Consider the following 16,778-nt stretch of genomic DNA (forward strand, 5'->3'; position numbering starts at 1 on the left):
ATTCCTTTTATTTATTTATTTTTATTTTTTAATATTAGGGACTGAGTCTCACTATGTTGTCTAGGCTGGTCTCAAACTCCTGGGCTCAAGAAATCCTCCTGCCTTGGCCTCTGAAAGTGGTGGGATTACAGGCGTGAGCCACTGTGCCTGGCTTATCTTTATTTCTTTACAACAGGAAAGAGAAAATGTATCTATTCCCTCCCCTACCCCCAATCCCACGCCCCCACCCCTGCCTTGTTTGAGCTGGAGTCTCCCTTCCAGTAGTCTGCTTCAGGGTCCTGAGTTCTCTTCCTGGCACGTTTTCTGGGTATAGCAAGAGAACCATTACCATTACTAAACTCAGTAATGGTAACGGTTTCCTTGCCATTCCCAAGTGCCCTGGCAGTCAGTAGGTTGTGACAGGCTGAGCAGAGAGCTTCTTGGGCTTGCAGCATCTCTCCTGTCCTCCTTGTCAGGCTCCAGAGCTGGGGGTGCCCGGACTAGTACATCATCTATACTGTAGTGTCTCATCGCAAACTTACAGTATATGATGATATCCCAGCCAGGGCCCCACTGGGGGCACAGGAAGCATGGCTTGAAAAGCACTGTGAGGGGCTGGGGGCAGAACAGGACAGGTCAGGGCTGGACACACACAGCTTCCTGCTCCCTGCTCTACAGCTCCCTCGCAGGCCAGCGTCTCCTTGATTCTGTGGTCAGGCACAGCCCAGGTGGGTTATGGGAAGGGGACTGGAGCTAGGGTCTGTTAAGATCTCATAGGGACCCAGGGCCAGTGTTAAACAAGCCAGAGATGGCGTAATGATGCAGAAGGTTCCCTTTGGTCACACTAACAAGCAGACAGGCAGACAGACCCAGAGAAGGTGCACTTACCTGGAGCTGGAACTGCAGACTGAGGAGGCCTTTGGATGCAGGGAGGATCTGTCCCTCAAGCTGCTTGCCTTTTATCATACCGGTCCCTCCCCTGGGTGGGGCACTTTTCCTGGCCCTGCCTCTTAACCCTTGCCCTGCTAGAGTCCATGACAAGGGTCACTGGCCCCTTTCCCTAGAAGGCCTTTTCTCACATACTCTCTCATGGACCATATTCACCCTTCACTCCCATCTCCAAGAAGCTCATCATCTCTGCCGGGCTGGGAAGGAGAAAGAACAGCCTCATCCCATCCACCAGCATTTAATTGCTGGTCAGATCCCTAGTGGAAGGTTTCTCGTTTTTGCTTTTTTTGTTTTTGTTTTTGTTTTGCAGTGGTGGTAGGCAATGTTAGTTGAATCTCTCTGTATAGGGCAGGAAGGGTCCTGGCAACTGGATCTCCAGAATCTGTCTGGCAGCCGAGCTCACCCTACCCGTCAGCCTAAATTTCTATTCCCAGCCCCTGCCCCTGTGTTTATGATGAGCCCAAGGAGGCCAGACCTAGGCAGGCAGAGAGACTCTGCCTAGCACTGCCCTGGCAAGGTCCTCTTGGGGGTTGCTCTACTAGGAGATTTGAGAGCAGCTGAATCCCCAGCTCTTGTGGGTCTGCTCTTCAAAGCTCAAGGCACCTCCAGTGAGAGCCTAGCACTGTTTGGTTCTTTGCCTCTGGGGTAGAGGAGAGGCTCCTCAAAGCAAGGCCTCTGCTGTTTAGAATCCCCATTCTGGGGGACACGCCCTTCCCTCTTCCCTATCCTAGACAATCTGGTCTGTGTGCTGGAAGGCAGTTAATACTCTTCCTCTGCGGGGGTAGACTAGACCAGGATGGAAGTGGGAGAAGAGACCCAACCTTTTCTGGGTCCTGTGGAGGTGTTCTATTTCCTGAGGTCACAGCACGCTGGCACATGCTCTACCCTCTGCTTAGCATGGTCTTCCCTCCTTTCTTGTCTAGTTAGCTCCTAGCCCCTCTTCAGAGCTCTTTTTTTTTCCTTCCTTTTTTTTGAGACAATTTAACTCTGTCACCCAGGTTGGAGTGCAGTTGTGTCATCATGGCTCACTGCAGACTCCCTGGGCTCAGGTGATCCTCCCACCTCAGCCTCCCAAGTAGCTGGGACTACAGGCGTACACCACCACACCTGGCTAATTTTTGTATTTTTAGTGGAGATGGGGTTTCGCCATGTTGTCTAGGCTGCTCTCAAACTCCTGGGCTCAAGTGATCCGCCCACATGGGCTCCCAGAGTGCTGGGATTACAGGCGTGAGCCACCGCACCAGCCTCCCTCTTCACATCTCTAAGTGTTACTTCTGCAGGGAAGTCTTCCCAGACTATTTAAGTCTCCCTGATAGGGACTTATTTATTTGTGTGATTATTCACATTAAGTAAATAGTCATGAGGGCCTTGTTTATTCACTAATATATTTCTGTGTTTTTGTTTTTGTTTTTTGTTTTTTTTTAGCGAGAGTCTTGCTCTGTCGCCCAGGCTGGAGTACAGTAGCATAATCTCAGCTCACTGCAACCTCCGCCTCCTGGGTTCAAGCGATTCTCCTGCCTCAGCCTCCTGAGTAGCTGGGACTACAGGTACTCGCTGCCACGCCCAGCTAATTTTTTGTATTTTTAGTAGAGACAGGCTTTCACCGTGTTGCCCAGGCTGGTGTCGAACTCTTGAGCTCAGGCGATCCGCCCGCCTCAGCCTCCCAAAGTGCTGGGATTACAGGCGTGAGCCACTGCGCCCAGCTCACTGATGTACTTCTATCACATAATTAACAACTAAATAAATGTTCCAGCCTACATCAAGCTGAGCCTAATGTAATATGGGGGAGGAGAGAGACCTTGGCCTGAGGAGGCAGATGGACAAAGCTGTGGCTCTCTCAGGCAAGCCATTTTCTCTCTGGGACCCTCCCTGTTCTTATTTGTAAATAGGAATAACAATAGTCCCCAGTTCACAGAGTTGCCAGATCTAGGGGATCAGCTGCTGGTGCCGGTCAACAGAAGGGGTTCAAACAAGTTCATTCCCACCTCACCCCATTCCCTCAGGGACCCCCACAAGGCCTGTCCTTGAACATCTGAAAGCCCATGGAATATTATTGAAAGCCACCTGGGACCATTGCAAGAACCCAGGTCTAGAGGTGACAGGTCCCAAGTGACAGTCTCAGCTGTGCTGCATCCAGCTCTGTGACTTTGGACCAAGTGTTCCCACTCACAGTTTCCTCAAATTTAAAATGGCAGCTGTCAATACCAACCTTATACAGTGATGAAGAGGGTGATACGAGCACTCATCTCAAGCTCCCAGATCAGGTCCTAGCACATATGAAACAAATGTCAGTTTCCTTCTTTACTTCTTTCTTCTGTCTCACAAACTGTGTGACTGGGGACAAATTGCACTTCTCTGAGCTTTGGTGGTTATACACATCTTGCCAAGTTGTAAGAGTCAAGTCAGAAATATGAGTGAGAGCCCAGGCATGGTGGCTCACGATTGTAATCCCAGAACTTTGGGAGGTTGAGGGGGGCAGATCACTTAAGCCCAGGAGTTCAAGACCAGCCTGGGTAACATAGTGAGACCCCATCTCTACTAAAAGTACGAAAAAAAAAAAAAAAAGAAAACAAATTAGCCAGTTGTGGTGGCATGTGCCTATATAGTCCCAACTACTTGGTGGGCTGTGGTGAGAGGATCACTTTAGCCTGGAAAGTCGAGGCTGCAATGAGCCATGTTTGCACCACTGCACTTCAGCCTGGGTGACAAGAGTGAGACTCTACCTCAAAAAAAAAAAAAAAAAAAGAAAAAGAAATATAGAAAGATGAGTGAGGGCCAGGTGCGGTGGCTCACGCCTGTAATCCCAGCACTTTGGGAGGCTGAGGTGGGTGGATAATTCGAGGTCAGGAGTTTGAGACCAGCCTGGCCAACATGGAGAAACCCCATCTCTACTAAAAATACAAAAAATTAGCCGGGCGTGGTGGCAGCACCAGTAATCCCAACTACTCGGGAGGCTGAGGCACAAGAATTGCTTAAACCCAGGAGGCAGAGGTTGCTGTGAGCCAAGACTGCACCACTGCCATCTACGCTGGGTGACAGAATGAGACTCCGTTTAAAAAAAAAAAAAAGATGAGCGACAAAGCTTCTGAAATCCAGCTGCTCTAACCAGGTGAGGCATTGTCGTTATGTCTGCTCCTGCTTCCCCTGACCCCCTTTCCTGTCCTGTGTCCCTCCTGCGAGGCCACCTCTACTCAGAAACCCCACAGACAGCTCAAGCTCCTTCAACAAAGGCAGGGCTTCGTGTACTAGGGCAAGCTTCATGCCACTTACTTCCTAGACTTCTGCCTAGTGCCTGGGGGCCAAGTCCAAAGGTGAGCATGGGCAGAACCTAGGCGTCCTAAAGGGAAAGGGGAGAGATTATCTCAGCCAGCCAGAGATCCTGTGGCTGTGGCCTCTGGCCAGGGGTGGGGATTGCTGTGAGTAGGGTGTGGGTTGGAGGAGAGTCTGGGCCTGGGAGGGATAGTCAGGGGGCCCTGATAAGCAGACATTGGGCTATCAGGGTGGGGGCCCAGCAGCCTTCTGTTTATCAGGAGCCAACACGGGCCAAAGCAGGGCTGAGGCGCTTCCCGCCCAGGGCTGTTTTCCTGGATATTTGTTCTTCCATTCCTCTGCCTCCCCAGTACCCCACAGGGAGTTGGAATGTGAATCCCTCTGCCTCTCTGCAAGGCACATGGAGACTCTCTGGCCAGTACAGGGGTGGGAGGACACCAGCTAGGGCCTTGGGCCTGACTTTTAAATTCTGACAGCTTTTGCTTCAAACCAGGAGCTCCATGGCTTTTCTGAGGCCAGTGAGGCAAGTCTGGGGACTTCGTCCTTCTAACTTCAACCCCTGCCACTGCAGCTTTAAGCTCTTGACTGTTCTTTAGGTCTTTTTTGGAAGAAGTCCTAAAGTGTATGGTGATGAAGTTAAGGATGGTCAGATCTGTACAGGTCCTTCAAAATCATGGAGTTCAAGTCTCCCATTTATATAGGAGAGAAACTGAAGGCAGAGAGGAGGAGAGAATTGTCCAAAGCTTAAGGGTTCCCTCCACCTCTCAGCATCGGAGAACAATGCATGACTCAGAGGAACAGGAAGCAGCCATAGACACTCACAGACAGATACACATAATATGCAAAACACACACATACAAATGCACACATGTGCACTGCCCACATGTACGCAGACATACAACACATAGAGATACACAGCATACACATTAAAAAAAGAAATTCAGGCCGGGCACAGTGACTCATGCCTGTAATCCCAGCACTTTAGGAGGCTGAGGCAGGAGGGTCGCTTGAACCCAGGAGTTCAGACTGGCCACAGCAACATAGCAAGACCTCATCTCTCCAGAAACATTTAAAAATTAGCCACCTGTGGGCCAAGCGCGGTGACTCACACCTGTAATCCCAGCACTTTGGGAGGTCCAGCCGGGCGGATCACCTGAGGTCGGGAGTTTGAGACCAGCCTGACCAACATGGAGAAACCCTATCTCTACTAAAAATACAAAATTAGCCGGGCGTGATGGTGCATGCCTGTAATCCAAACTACTCAGGAGGCTGAGGCAGGAGAGTCATTTGAACCCGGGAGGCAGAGGCAGCAGTGAGCTGAGATCATCCTATTGTACTCCAGCCTGGGCAACAAGAGCAAAACTCCATCTCAAAAAAAAAAAAAAAAAAAATTAGTCAGCTGTGGTGGCACATGCCTGTATTCCTAGCTACTTGGGAGGCTGGGGTGAGAACATTGCTTGACCCCGGGAGACTGAGGCTGCAGTGAACTATGATTGCAGCAGCACTGAACTCCAGCATGGGAGGCTGGCTGAGTGAGACCCTGTTTCTAAAAAATAAATAATAAATTCAGCGGGTAGAATTACTCTTATTTTCCTCTTGGTTGCTTTACTATGTCTCATGACATTAGCAATTTTATACAAGGATAAAAGGAGGCCAAATAATATGGTTATTCAAACAGTTATTCAGTGTTTTCTCATTCAATGTCTCATAGCACAGACAGTAGCAAAACTCATTCAGGAACAAAGGACTTTGAGAAATTTTGAGAAGCTGGAAAACTGGTTTTTCGTTTTGTTTTGTTTTGTTTGTTTTTTGAGACTGAGTCTCGCTCTGTTGCCAGGCTGGAGTGCAGTGGCACAATCTCAGCTCACTGCAACCTCTGCCTCCCGGGTTCAAGGGATTCTCTGGCCTCAGCCTCCCGAGTAGCTGGGACTACAGGCGCCCACCACCATGCCCAGCTAATTTTTGTATTTTTAGTAGAGACGGGGTTTCACCATGTTGGTCAGGATGGTCTTGAACCCCCTACCTCAGGTGATCCGCCTGCCCGGCCACTGTTTTTTTTTTTTGTTTTTTTTTTCTTTTAAAAATGATAGGGTCTCATTCTATTGCCCAGGCTGGAGTGCAGTGGTGCGGTGTTGTGGTCATAACTCACTTCTGCGCTCAAGGGATCCCCCTACCTCAGCCTCTCAAGAGTAACTGAGTAAGCATTCCTCCCGCATCAGCCTTCCAAAGTGCTGAGATTACAGATGTGAGCCACTGCGCCCAGCCTGGAAAACCATTCTAATCCTTACCCTCCATGAGGTCAATGGGGCTTGAGATTTAGGAGTTTGTCAGAGAGGCCTGCTCCACTTCATCCTGACTGGTCTGTGAAGCTTCTCTTCACTCTCCCTGACACTTCCCTCTCGAGGTCCAGGCTTGGGACCTGCTCTTACTGTTGTCCTCATCACAGTGTGGCAAATTCCCTTGTTTGTCCCCAACCATTCCATGAATGGGCACCTTGTCTGAACCATCTCCCTGGCCCAGCACCCGGGATTTATCCTGGGAGGTGTTCAGAGAACGCCTTACATGGAACAGATGCTCAAGCATATGTTCCCTTATACTCTTTATGCCGTTCAGCCCCATGAGGAAGTGTGCATGTTGAGCACTGTACCCAGATGCCCCTGGAGCCCTTCCAGGGAGTGGGGTCCTAGGAATGGCTTTCCTGGGGGCTTTGCCGATGTCCATCCATCTCCAAAAGACACCTGCATGCCATTTTCACGATAGAGAAACTAAGGTTCAGGGAGGAAGTGCTTGGCCCGAGTCTTATAGTGAGCAGAACTACAGCCCTGTTCTCCAGACCCCACACCCTGGCTCTATGCACAAACCCGCTAGGAATAGGGTAGATTTTGTGTCTTTGTGAGGCCTTTTTGAGTTTCAATGGAATCAAACCTAAGTTCTGCCAGTTACCAGTAATGTGATTCTGAGCCTCCTTATCTATTATAGGGATGAGAATAATACCTGCCTCACAAGATCCTTCAGAAGATTCAGTAAAATCTAGCTGGGCACGGTGGCTCACACTTGTAATCTTAGTACTTTGGGAGGCCAAGGTGGGTGGATCACTTGAAGTTAGGAGTTGGAGACCAGCCTGTTCAACGTGGCAAAACCCTGCCTCTACTAAAAATACAAAAAAAGGTCGCTGGGTGTGCTGGCAGGCACCTGTAATCCCAGCTACTCAAGAGGCTGAGGCAGGAGAATCACTTGAACCTGGGAGGCGGAGGCTGCATTGAGCTGAGATTGCGTCGCTGTACTCCAGCCAGGGCGACAGAGTGAAACTCCATCTCAAAACAACAGCAAACAAACAAACAAGATTCAGTGAAATCGTGTAAGAAAGCCCCTGAATGATGCAAGGATTCCTTCTGTGTTTCTACTTATGCAGGCAGACTCCACTCATCTATCGGACCTCTTTTTTTTTTTTTTTTCCAGAGACTGGAGTGCAGTGGTACAATCACAGCACGTTGCAACCTTGAATTCCTGGACTCAAGGAATCCTCCTGCCTCAGTCCCCCAAGTAGCTGGGACTGCAGGCCCATACCACCACACCCAGGAAAAAATTTGTTTTCTCGCTCTGTCGCCCAGGCTGAAATGCAGTGGCACAGTCTTGGCTTAATGCAGCCTCTGCCTCTGGGTTCAAGAGATTCTCCTGCCTCAGCTCCCGAGTAGCTGGGATTACAGGCATGCACCACTCCTGGCTAATTATTTTTTGTATTTTTAGTAGAAACGGGGTTTCACCATGTTGGCCAGGCTGGTCTCAAATTTCTGACCTCCAGTGATCTGCCTACCTTGGCCTCCCAAAGTACTGGGATTACAGGCATGAGCCTGTACGTGAGCACCCGGCTCCACGTATTTTTTTTTTTTTTTTTTTGAGAGGGTGTCTTGCTCTGTTCCACAGGCTGGAGTGCAGTGGTGCAATCTCGGCTCACTGCAACCTCCATCTTCCGGGTTCAAGCAATTCTCTGTCTCAGCCTCCTGAGCAGCTGGGATTACAGGTGTCCGCCACCACGCCTGGCTAATTTTTGTATTTTTAGTAGAGATGGGGTTTCACCATCTTGTCCAGGCTGGTCTTGAACTCCAGACCTCGTGATACACCCGCCTTGGCCTCCCAAAGTGCTGGGATTACAGGCATGAGCCACCACGCCTGGCCTGGCTCCAGGTACAGGTAATATATATATATATTTTAAGACCGAGTCTCGCTCTGTAGCCAGGCTGGAGTGCAGTGGCGTGATTTGGGCTCACTGCAACCTCTGTGTCCTGGGTTCAAGCTATTCTCCTGCCTCAGCCTCCCAAGTAGCTGTAACTATAGGCGTGTGCCACCACACCCAGCTAATTTTTGTATTTGTATTTATTATTTTTTTTTGAGACGGAGTTTCGCTCTTGTCACCCAGGCTGGAGTGCAGTGGCACGATCTTGGCTCACCACAACCTCCTCCTCCCATGTCCAAGTGATTCTCCTGCCTCAGCCTCCAGAGTAGCTGGGATTATCCGCACGTGCCACCACGCCCAGCTAATTTTGTATTTTTAGTACAGTCGGGGTTTCTCCATGTTGGTCAGGCTGGTCTTGAGCTCTCGACTTCAGGTGATCCACCCACCTCGGCCTCCCAAAGTGCTGGGATTACAGGCGTGAGCCACTGTTCCCGGCCCTAATTTTTGTGTTTTTAGTAGAGATGGGGTTTTACCATGTTGGGCAGGATGATCTCTATCTCTTGACCTCATGATCTGCCCACTTCGGCCTCCCAAAGTGCTGGGATTACGGGCGTCAGCCACCGCGCCCGGCTCCAGGTAATTTTAAAACAAAATTTTTGTAGAAGCCTGGTGTGGTGGTTCATGCCTATAATCCCAGCTCTTTGGGAGGCTGAGGCGAGTGGATTGCTTGAGGCCAGGAGTTGGAGACCAGCCTAGGCAACATGACAAAATCCATCTCTACATAAAATACAAAAATTAGCCTGGTGTGGTGGCATGTACCTGTAGTTCCAGCTACTCAGAAGGCTAAGGTGGGAGGATCGCTTGAGCCTGGGAGGTTGAAGCTGCAGTGAGCCGTGATCGCACCACTGCACTTCAGCCTGGGTGACAGAGTGAGACCCTGTCTTAAAAAAATTTTTTTAGGGCCAGGCGCAGTGGCTCAGGCCTGTAATCCCAGTACTTTGGGAGGCCAAGGTGGGTGGATCACGAGGTCAGCAGTTCGAGACTATCCTGACCAATGCGGTGAAACCCCGTCTCTACTAAAAATACAAAAAAATTAGCTGGGCATGGTGGTGGGCACCTGTAATCCCAGCTACTTGGGAGGCTGAGGCAGGAGAATCTCTTCAAACCAGAAGGTGGAGGTTGCAGTGAGCCAAGGCTGGACCACTGCACTCTAGCCTGGGCAACGAGAGCAAAACTCCATCTCAGAAAAAAAAATTTTTTTTTTTAAATAGAGATAGAGGCCAGGCACAGTGGCATACGCCTATAATCCTAGCACTTTGGGAGGCCGAAGCAGGCAAATCACTTGAGGTCAGGAGTTCAAGACCAGCTTGGCCAACGTGGTGAAACCGTGTCTCTACCAAAAATAGAAAAATTAGCTGGGCATGGTGGCAGGCGCCTGTAATCTCAGCTACTCGGGAGGCTGAGACAGGAGAATTGCTGGAACCTGGGAGGCGGAGGTTGCAGTGAGCCGAGATCACGCCACTGCACTCCAACCCAGGCTGACAACAGTGACCAAAAAAAAAAAATAGAGATGGGGGTTCTCACTGTGCAACCCAGCCTGATCTCAAACTCCTGGCCTCAAGCAAACCTCCCACCTCAGCCCTTAAAAGTTCTGGGATTACAGGCATGAGCCACCATGCCTAGTCATCTAATCCCTTGTTTAGCCTCTTCCACACACTGCTCTTGGGCAGCTGCAATCCAGCAACAATCCCCTCTCCTTTCTCTGACCTCCTGCAGTTTATGAGCCAAGCCTTCTCATGAAGCTCACTTGTCCTGAAATCACAGGCCCATGTTTGGCTTGAACCAGAGCTTTCGCCTTCACAGTTCAGGGGTTGTACATTAGGGTTCTTGCTTCCTGTCTAGGAGTACTGAGAGCTAGCAGGAAATAAGCACAGCTTCTGACTGACTTGTCAGAGTCCGGGCTCCACCACACTACCGCTGAGTGATTCTGGCCCCTGCACCTGATCTTAGAGTCTTGGCTTCCTCAACAGTAAAATGGGGTTCAGGCCAGGTTCAGTGGCTCATGCCTGTAATCCCAGCAGTTTGAAGGCCGTGGTGGGCGGATCCCTTGAGGTCAGGAGTTTGAGACCAGCCTGGACGACATGGCGAAACCCTGTCTCTACTAAAAATACAAAAATTAGCCACGCGTGGTGGTAGGCGCCTGTAATCCCAGCTACTCGAGAGGCTGAGGGAGGAGAATCTCTTGAACCTAGGAGGCAGAAGTTGCAGTGAGCCGAGATAGTGCCATTACACTCCAGGCTGGGTGACAGAGTGAGACTCTGTTTCAAAAAAAAAAAAAAAAAAGGCCGAGCGCGGTGGTTCACACCTATAATCCCAGCACTTTGGGAGCTTGAGGCGGGCAGATCACGAGGTCAGGAGTTCGAGACCAGCCTGACCAACATGGTGAAACTCCATCTCTACTAAAAATACAAAAATTAGCTGGGCTTGTTGGCACAGGCCTGTAATCCCAGCTACTGAGGAGGCTGAGGCAGGAGAATTGCTTGAAACCGGGGAGGCGGAGGTTGCAGTGAGCCGAGATCGTGCCACTGCACTCCAGCCTGGGCGACAGAGCAAGATTCTGTCTCAAAAAAAAGGGGTTCAAATGCTTTCTTTTCCATGCTGGTGAAGATGAAATGAGACAGTGAAGGTGGATAGTTCTAACCTAGAGCCTGGCACATGAACAACAGGAGCTCAACAGATGCCAAGCTCCTTCCTTCCTGGCTTTGCAGTGGGCTTTCCCTGTTTACTCTCTCCAACGGGGCATACACCTGTGGGCGCTCGTGCTCACTCATACCCGTGCACGTACACGTGATAGTGTCCCCCTTGCACCCCTGTTGAGACACATACTGAGTCAGAAATGGAAATTTTCCTCTCAACACCTCCCTAACTCTATTCATCAGCTTCCAGTTCCTATTCTCTGGGTCAGTGGGGACTCTCAAGTCCAGACTTGGGCCATGACCTTTCCAGTCTCCTGGTACAGTTCTTTCTTTTTTTTTTCTTTCTTTTTTTTTTTTTTTTGAGACGGAGTCTGGCTTTGTCCCCCAGGCTGGAGTGTAGTGGTGTGATCTCGGCTCACTGCAAGCTCCACTTCCCAGGTTCACACCATTCTCCTGCCTCAGCCTCCCGAGTAGCTGGAACTACAGGTGCCCGACACCACGCCCGGCTAATTTTTGTATTTTTAGTAGAGATGGGGTTTCACCGTGTTAGCCAGGATGGTCTTGATCTCCTGACCTCGTGATCCGCCTGCCTCGGCCTCCCAAAGTGCTGGGATTACAGGCGTGAGCCACTGCGCCCAGCCAGGTACAGTTCTAAAGGTGGCTGTTGAGTGGAGCCTGAGTGTCCCTACTGCCTCAAATCCTTCCCGCCATCAGCCAGGCCTTTACATTCCTCCCTCCCTGCCAGGACAACCTGTTTGCTTCACAGCTGCTGTGGAAAAGATAGGCAGCCTGGATTATCAAGACAGACAAGGCTCCTTGCTGACAGTTCCCACCCACCCAGAGGCAAGCGTTCCTGAGCCCTTAACCCCCTCTGTGCTGGGCCTTCAGGCCTAGGGACTGGGCACAGCAGGGAAGATGGGCAGGCCTGGTACCCTCTATATCGAATTCCTAAGGCTGGTGGGGTCATGAGCACAACAGGGTAGGAAACAGCATCACCTGCACACTCCAGGTGCCCATTCTATATACTAAGCCCTTTCCTTCCTGGGTTCATGGAAGTTCATGGTAAACAGGGCCTTAGCAGGCCTCTGAAGGCTCAGGCAGAATGCTCTATACTCTCCACTCTCTCTTCCTGAGGCTGGTTCCAGGCTCTGGGGACAGAGGCCTGGCTTTCTCCATTCCAGGGGTCCACTGGCATTAGTACAGGTGCTGAGGCATCCCCTCCTCACTCCCTACCCCCACATCATTGCCCCTTCCTCCTCTCCAGCACCCTTCAGATCTCTTTCAGCAAGGCCCCTCTCATCTTCTTGCTGAAGTCAGTGTCCCTGACACTAAGGCCAACCTGGACCATCTCCTAGTTGGGTCTCATTGCAGCCACTCAGGCCTCCTTTTCCTGAAGGTCAACAGGAAGCAGTGAAAAGACCAGTAGTGGGCCAGGCATGGTGGCTCATGCCTGTAATCCCAGCACTTTGGGAGGCTGAGGCAGGTGGATTGCTTGAGCCTCAGGAGTTCGAGACCAGCCTGGGCAACATGGTGAAACCCCATCTCTACTAAAAATACAAAAATTAGCCAGGCGGTGGTATGCAATTGTAGTCTCAGCTACTTGGGAGGCTGAGGCAGAAGAATCGCTTGAACCTGGGAGGTGGAGGTTGCAGTGAGCCGAGATAGTGCCACTGCACTCCAGCCCAGCAGAGCGGGACTCCATCTCAAAAAACAAACAAACAAACAAAAATTAGCCAGGTATGGTGGTGCATGTCTGTAGTCCCAGCTACTCAGGAGGCTGAGGTAGGAGGTTCACTTGAGCTTAGGGAAGTCAAAGCTGCAGTAAGTCGTGATGGTGCCACTGCATTCCAGCCTAGGCGACAGAGAGAGACTATCTCTCTATCTTGAAAAAAAAAAAGTCTGCTCCCTCAAATGTTTTTCCCATTTCAGTAAATAACAACTCCGTTCTTCCGTTCTTCCAGATGGGACGAAGATCTTGGAGGCAATTTATTTTCTTTTTTTGGACATGTTCCAGATTTTGATCTTCACGCTGGTTAGAAAGGTATATGCATTTATGAAATTTTATTATATGTAAAATTCACAAGATTTGTACCCCTTTCGCTATGTAAGTTATACTTCCAATTTAAAAGCAACCACTCAATTCCCTATTTTCTATGTATTAATCACAATTTTTTTTGTTTTGTTTTTTGAGACAGGGTCTTGCTCTGTCACCCAGGGCAAAATGCAGTCACCCAGGGCAAAATGCAGTGGCATGAACATGGTGTGTCCAGAATTGGTGGGTTCTTGGTCTCATTGACTTCAAGAATGAAGCTGCAGACCCTCGCAGTGAGTGTTACAGTTCTTAAAGATGGTGTGTCCGGAGTTTGTTCCTTCTGATGTTTGGACGTGTTCGGAGTTTCTTCCTTCTGGTGGGTTCATGGTCTGGCTGGCTTCAAGAGTGAAGCTGCAGACCTTCGCAGTAAGTGTTACAGCTCTTAGGGCGGCACGTCTGGAGTTATTGGTTCCTCCCGTCCGGAGTTGTTCATTCCTCCCGGTGGGTTCGTGGTCTTGCTGGCCTCAGGAGTGAAGCTGCAGACCTTCGCAGTGATTGTTACAGCTCATAAAGGCAGTGCGGACCCAAAGAGTGAGCAGCAGCAAGATTTATTGCAGAGTGAAAGAACAAAGCTTCCACAGTGTGGAAGGGGACCTAGCGGCTTGCCCGCAATTTATTTTCTTAATTAACTTTTTGCTGAAGTAGAACATATATTCAAAAAGTGCATGACTCATAAGTGAATTATCACAAAGTGAACACACCCATGTAATCACCATCCAGGTCAAGAAACAGGACATTCTCAGGGGGCTCCTGTGCCCTCTATTTCTGTCTCTTCTTCCCCAAAGGTGACCTTTAGCTGATCTAATGTCATAGATTAGCTTTGCCTGCTTTTTGGACTTTATATGGAATGATACAATCTATATTATTATTATTATTATTTTTTGAGATGGAGTCTCGCTCTGTTGCCCAGGCTGGAGTGCAATGGTGTGATCTCAGCTCACTGCAACCTTTGCCTCCCGGGTTCAAGCAATTCTCCTGCCTCAGTTTCCCAAGTAGCTGGGACTACAGATGTGCGCCACCACGCCCAGGTAATTTTTGTATTTTTAGTAGAGACGGGGTTTCACTATATGTTGGCCTGGCTGGTCTCGAACTCCTGACCTCAGGCAGTCCACCCGCCTCAGCCTCCCAAAGTGCTGGGATTACAGGCGTGAGCCACCATACCCGTCTATTATTATTTTTGGGACAGGGTCTCACTGTGTCTCCCAGGCTGGAGTGCAATGGTGCAATCTTGACTCACTGCAGCCTCAACTCAACGTCCCGGGCTGAAGCAATCCTCCCACCCCAGCCTCCCGAGTAGCTGGGACTATAGGTGCAAACCACCATGCCCAGTTAATTTTTTTTTTTTGTATCTTTTGTGGAGACAGGGTTTTGCCACACACTCAAGCAATCTGCAATCTGCCCACCTCATCCTCTCAAAGTGCTGGGATTACAGGTGTGAACCACCGCACCCAGCCCATGTCTGGCTTCTTTCACTCAACATTACGTTTGCAAGATTTATTCAAGTATTTGCATGTAGCAGTAGTTCATTTGTTTTTATTACTGCATAGTATTCAATTTCATGAATATGATACACATTTTTCATTCTACCATTGATGAACATTTGAGTTGTTTGAATTTGGGGGCCATTATTCATAATGCTGCTGTGAGTATTCTTGTACCCATATGTATGTATATTGCTGTTGGAGTGAGATGGTTGGGTCAAAGGGTATGCTTTTGTTCAGCTGTAGTAGATTCTGTCAAACAGGTTTCCAAAGTGGTTGTATTGACATATATTTCTACCAGCAGTGTATGAATGTTCCAATTGCTCTTCCTCCTCACCCATGCTTGATATTGTAACTTTTTTTTTCATTTCAGTCATTCTGGTAGGTGTGAAGTGATAATCTCATTTTGGTTTTAATTTGCATTTCCCTGATGACTAATGAAGTTATGCATGCTATTCCTGCCATTCTTTACTATGTAACAAATCAACCTCCAACTTAGAAGCTTAAACAATGAGCAGTCCATTTACTATCTCACACAGTTTCAGGAGTCTGGATTTTAGGAGGTTGGCTGGGCAGAAATGGCTTGGGGTCTCTCCTGCACATGCAGCCAGATGGTGGCTGGAGCAGCTGCAGGTGTCTATCTCTTTCTCTTCATGTAGCCAGGGCCCAACCCTGTGGTCCCTCTGTTTGGGCTTCCTTACAGTACAGTGCCCTCAGAACAGTCATACTGCTTACATGGTGGCTAAAGGCTTAAAGAGAGAGTATTCCAGCAAATAAAGCACAGGCTTTGTCATCGTTTGTGATCTAAACTCAGAAGTCACATAATGTCACTTCTGCAATACTCTTTATTGGCCTGAATAGCCACAAAAGTCCCACCAGTTTCAAGGGAAGGAAGAATAGGCTCTACCTCTAATTGTAAGGATGGTCAAAGTGACACTGTAAGAGGAACATGTAGGATGGAAGATATTGTTGCCACTATCTGTGGAAAATACAATCTGTCACACAGATTTCATACATCTATTGGCCATTCCTTTGTCTATTTTTCTGCGGCATTACCATTTCTTCCCATACTGATTGGTAAAATATATTCTGAATGCTAGTTTTTTTTTTTTTTTTTTGCCAGACATATATCTTGCAAATATTTTTTCCCATTATTCTGAGGCTTGTCTTCTCATTCTTTTTTTTTTTTTTTTTGAGACAGGGTCTCTGTCGCCTAGGCTGGGGTACAGTTATGTGATCATAGTTCACTGCAGCCTCCATCTCCTAGGCTCACACGATCCTCCCACCTCAGCCACCCAAGTAGCTGGGACTATAGGCACAAACCACCATGCTCAGTTAATTTTTTTTTTGAGATGGAGTTTTGCTCTGTTGCTGAGGCTGGAGTAGAGTGGCGCGATCTCAGCTTACTGCAACCTCCGCCTCCTGGGTTCAAGCAATTCTCCCTGCCTCAGCCTCCTGAGTAGCTGGGATTACAGGAGCCTGCCACCACGCCTGGCTAATTTTTGTTGTTTTAGTAGCGACAGGGTTTCACCATATTGGTCAGGCTGGTCTCAAACTCCTGACCTCAGGTGATCCACCCGCCTCGGCCTCCCAAAGTGCTGAGATTGCAGGCATAAGCCACCATGCCTGGCTGGCCAAGACCTATTGTGATGATGCAATATATCAAATTTTTCTTTTATGGTTAGTAGTTTTTTTTTTTTTGGTCTTAAGAAATCTTGCCTATGTCAAGGTCATAGAAACATTCCCTGCTTGCTCTATGAACTTTATGTTTTGAGTTTTTACATTAGGTCTGTGATCCACCCCAAACTAGATTTGGGTATATGGTGTGAGGTAGGGGGTTGCAATTCAATTGTTTTTTTCTTTTTTTTTTGAGACAGAGTCTCACTCTGTGTGCAGTGGCATGATCTCGGCTCACTGCAACCTCTGCTGCCTGGGTTCAAGTGATTCTTCTGCCTCAGCCTCCCGAGTAGCTGGGATTACAGGTGCCTGACACTGCACCTGGCTAATTTTTGTAGTTTTATTTTTTTGAGACGGAGTCTTGCTCTGTCACCTAGGCTGGAGTGCAGTGGTGCGGATCTCGGCTCACTGCAAGCTCTGCCTCCTGGGTTCATGCCATTCTCCTGCCTCAGCCTCCCAAG

The 16,778-nt window shown here is 49.1% G+C and overlaps 1 long non-coding RNA gene and 4 other non-coding genes across 5 annotated transcripts, besides 2 other annotated features; 1 reads left to right on the plus strand and 4 right to left on the minus strand.

The window, feature by feature from the left end:
• Positions 1–144: 144 nt before the first annotated feature.
• Positions 145–924, minus strand: LOC124903966 (uncharacterized). Its single transcript, XR_007065690.1, has 2 exons — positions 868–924; positions 145–594 (listed from the first exon to the last, which is right to left on the minus strand). It is a non-coding gene; the product is annotated as an uncharacterized LOC124903966 (long non-coding RNA).
• MIR451A (microRNA 451a) lies at positions 303–374 on the minus strand. The gene has a single exon (NR_029970.1). It is a non-coding gene; the product is annotated as a microRNA 451a (primary transcript).
• Positions 305–372, plus strand: MIR451B (microRNA 451b). Its single transcript, NR_039876.1, has one exon. It is a non-coding gene; the product is annotated as a microRNA 451b (primary transcript).
• Positions 467–552, minus strand: MIR144 (microRNA 144). Its single transcript, NR_029685.1, has one exon. It is a non-coding gene; the product is annotated as a microRNA 144 (primary transcript).
• MIR4732 (microRNA 4732) lies at positions 589–664 on the minus strand. Its single transcript, NR_039885.1, has one exon. It is a non-coding gene; the product is annotated as a microRNA 4732 (primary transcript).
• Positions 4,007–5,063: a transcriptional cis regulatory region, noted in NCBI's record as "candidate enhancer chr17.1493 targeted for multiplex CRISPR interference". NCBI's record gives its function as "positively regulates DHRS13 and FLOT2 gene expression in K562 cells {active_cell/tissue: K562}" and the evidence as "EXISTENCE:mutant phenotype evidence [ECO:0000015][PMID:30612741]".
• Positions 10,501–10,570: an enhancer, noted in NCBI's record as "active region_11954". NCBI's record gives its function as "activates an Ori minimal core promoter by ATAC-STARR-seq in GM12878 lymphoblastoid cells {active_cell/tissue: GM12878}" and the evidence as "EXISTENCE:reporter gene assay evidence [ECO:0000049][PMID:35858748]".

The sequence above is a fragment of the Homo sapiens genome, chromosome 17, assembly GCF_000001405.40.
Source record: "Homo sapiens chromosome 17, GRCh38.p14 Primary Assembly".
Classification (NCBI taxonomy): Eukaryota; Metazoa; Chordata; class Mammalia; order Primates; family Hominidae; genus Homo; species Homo sapiens.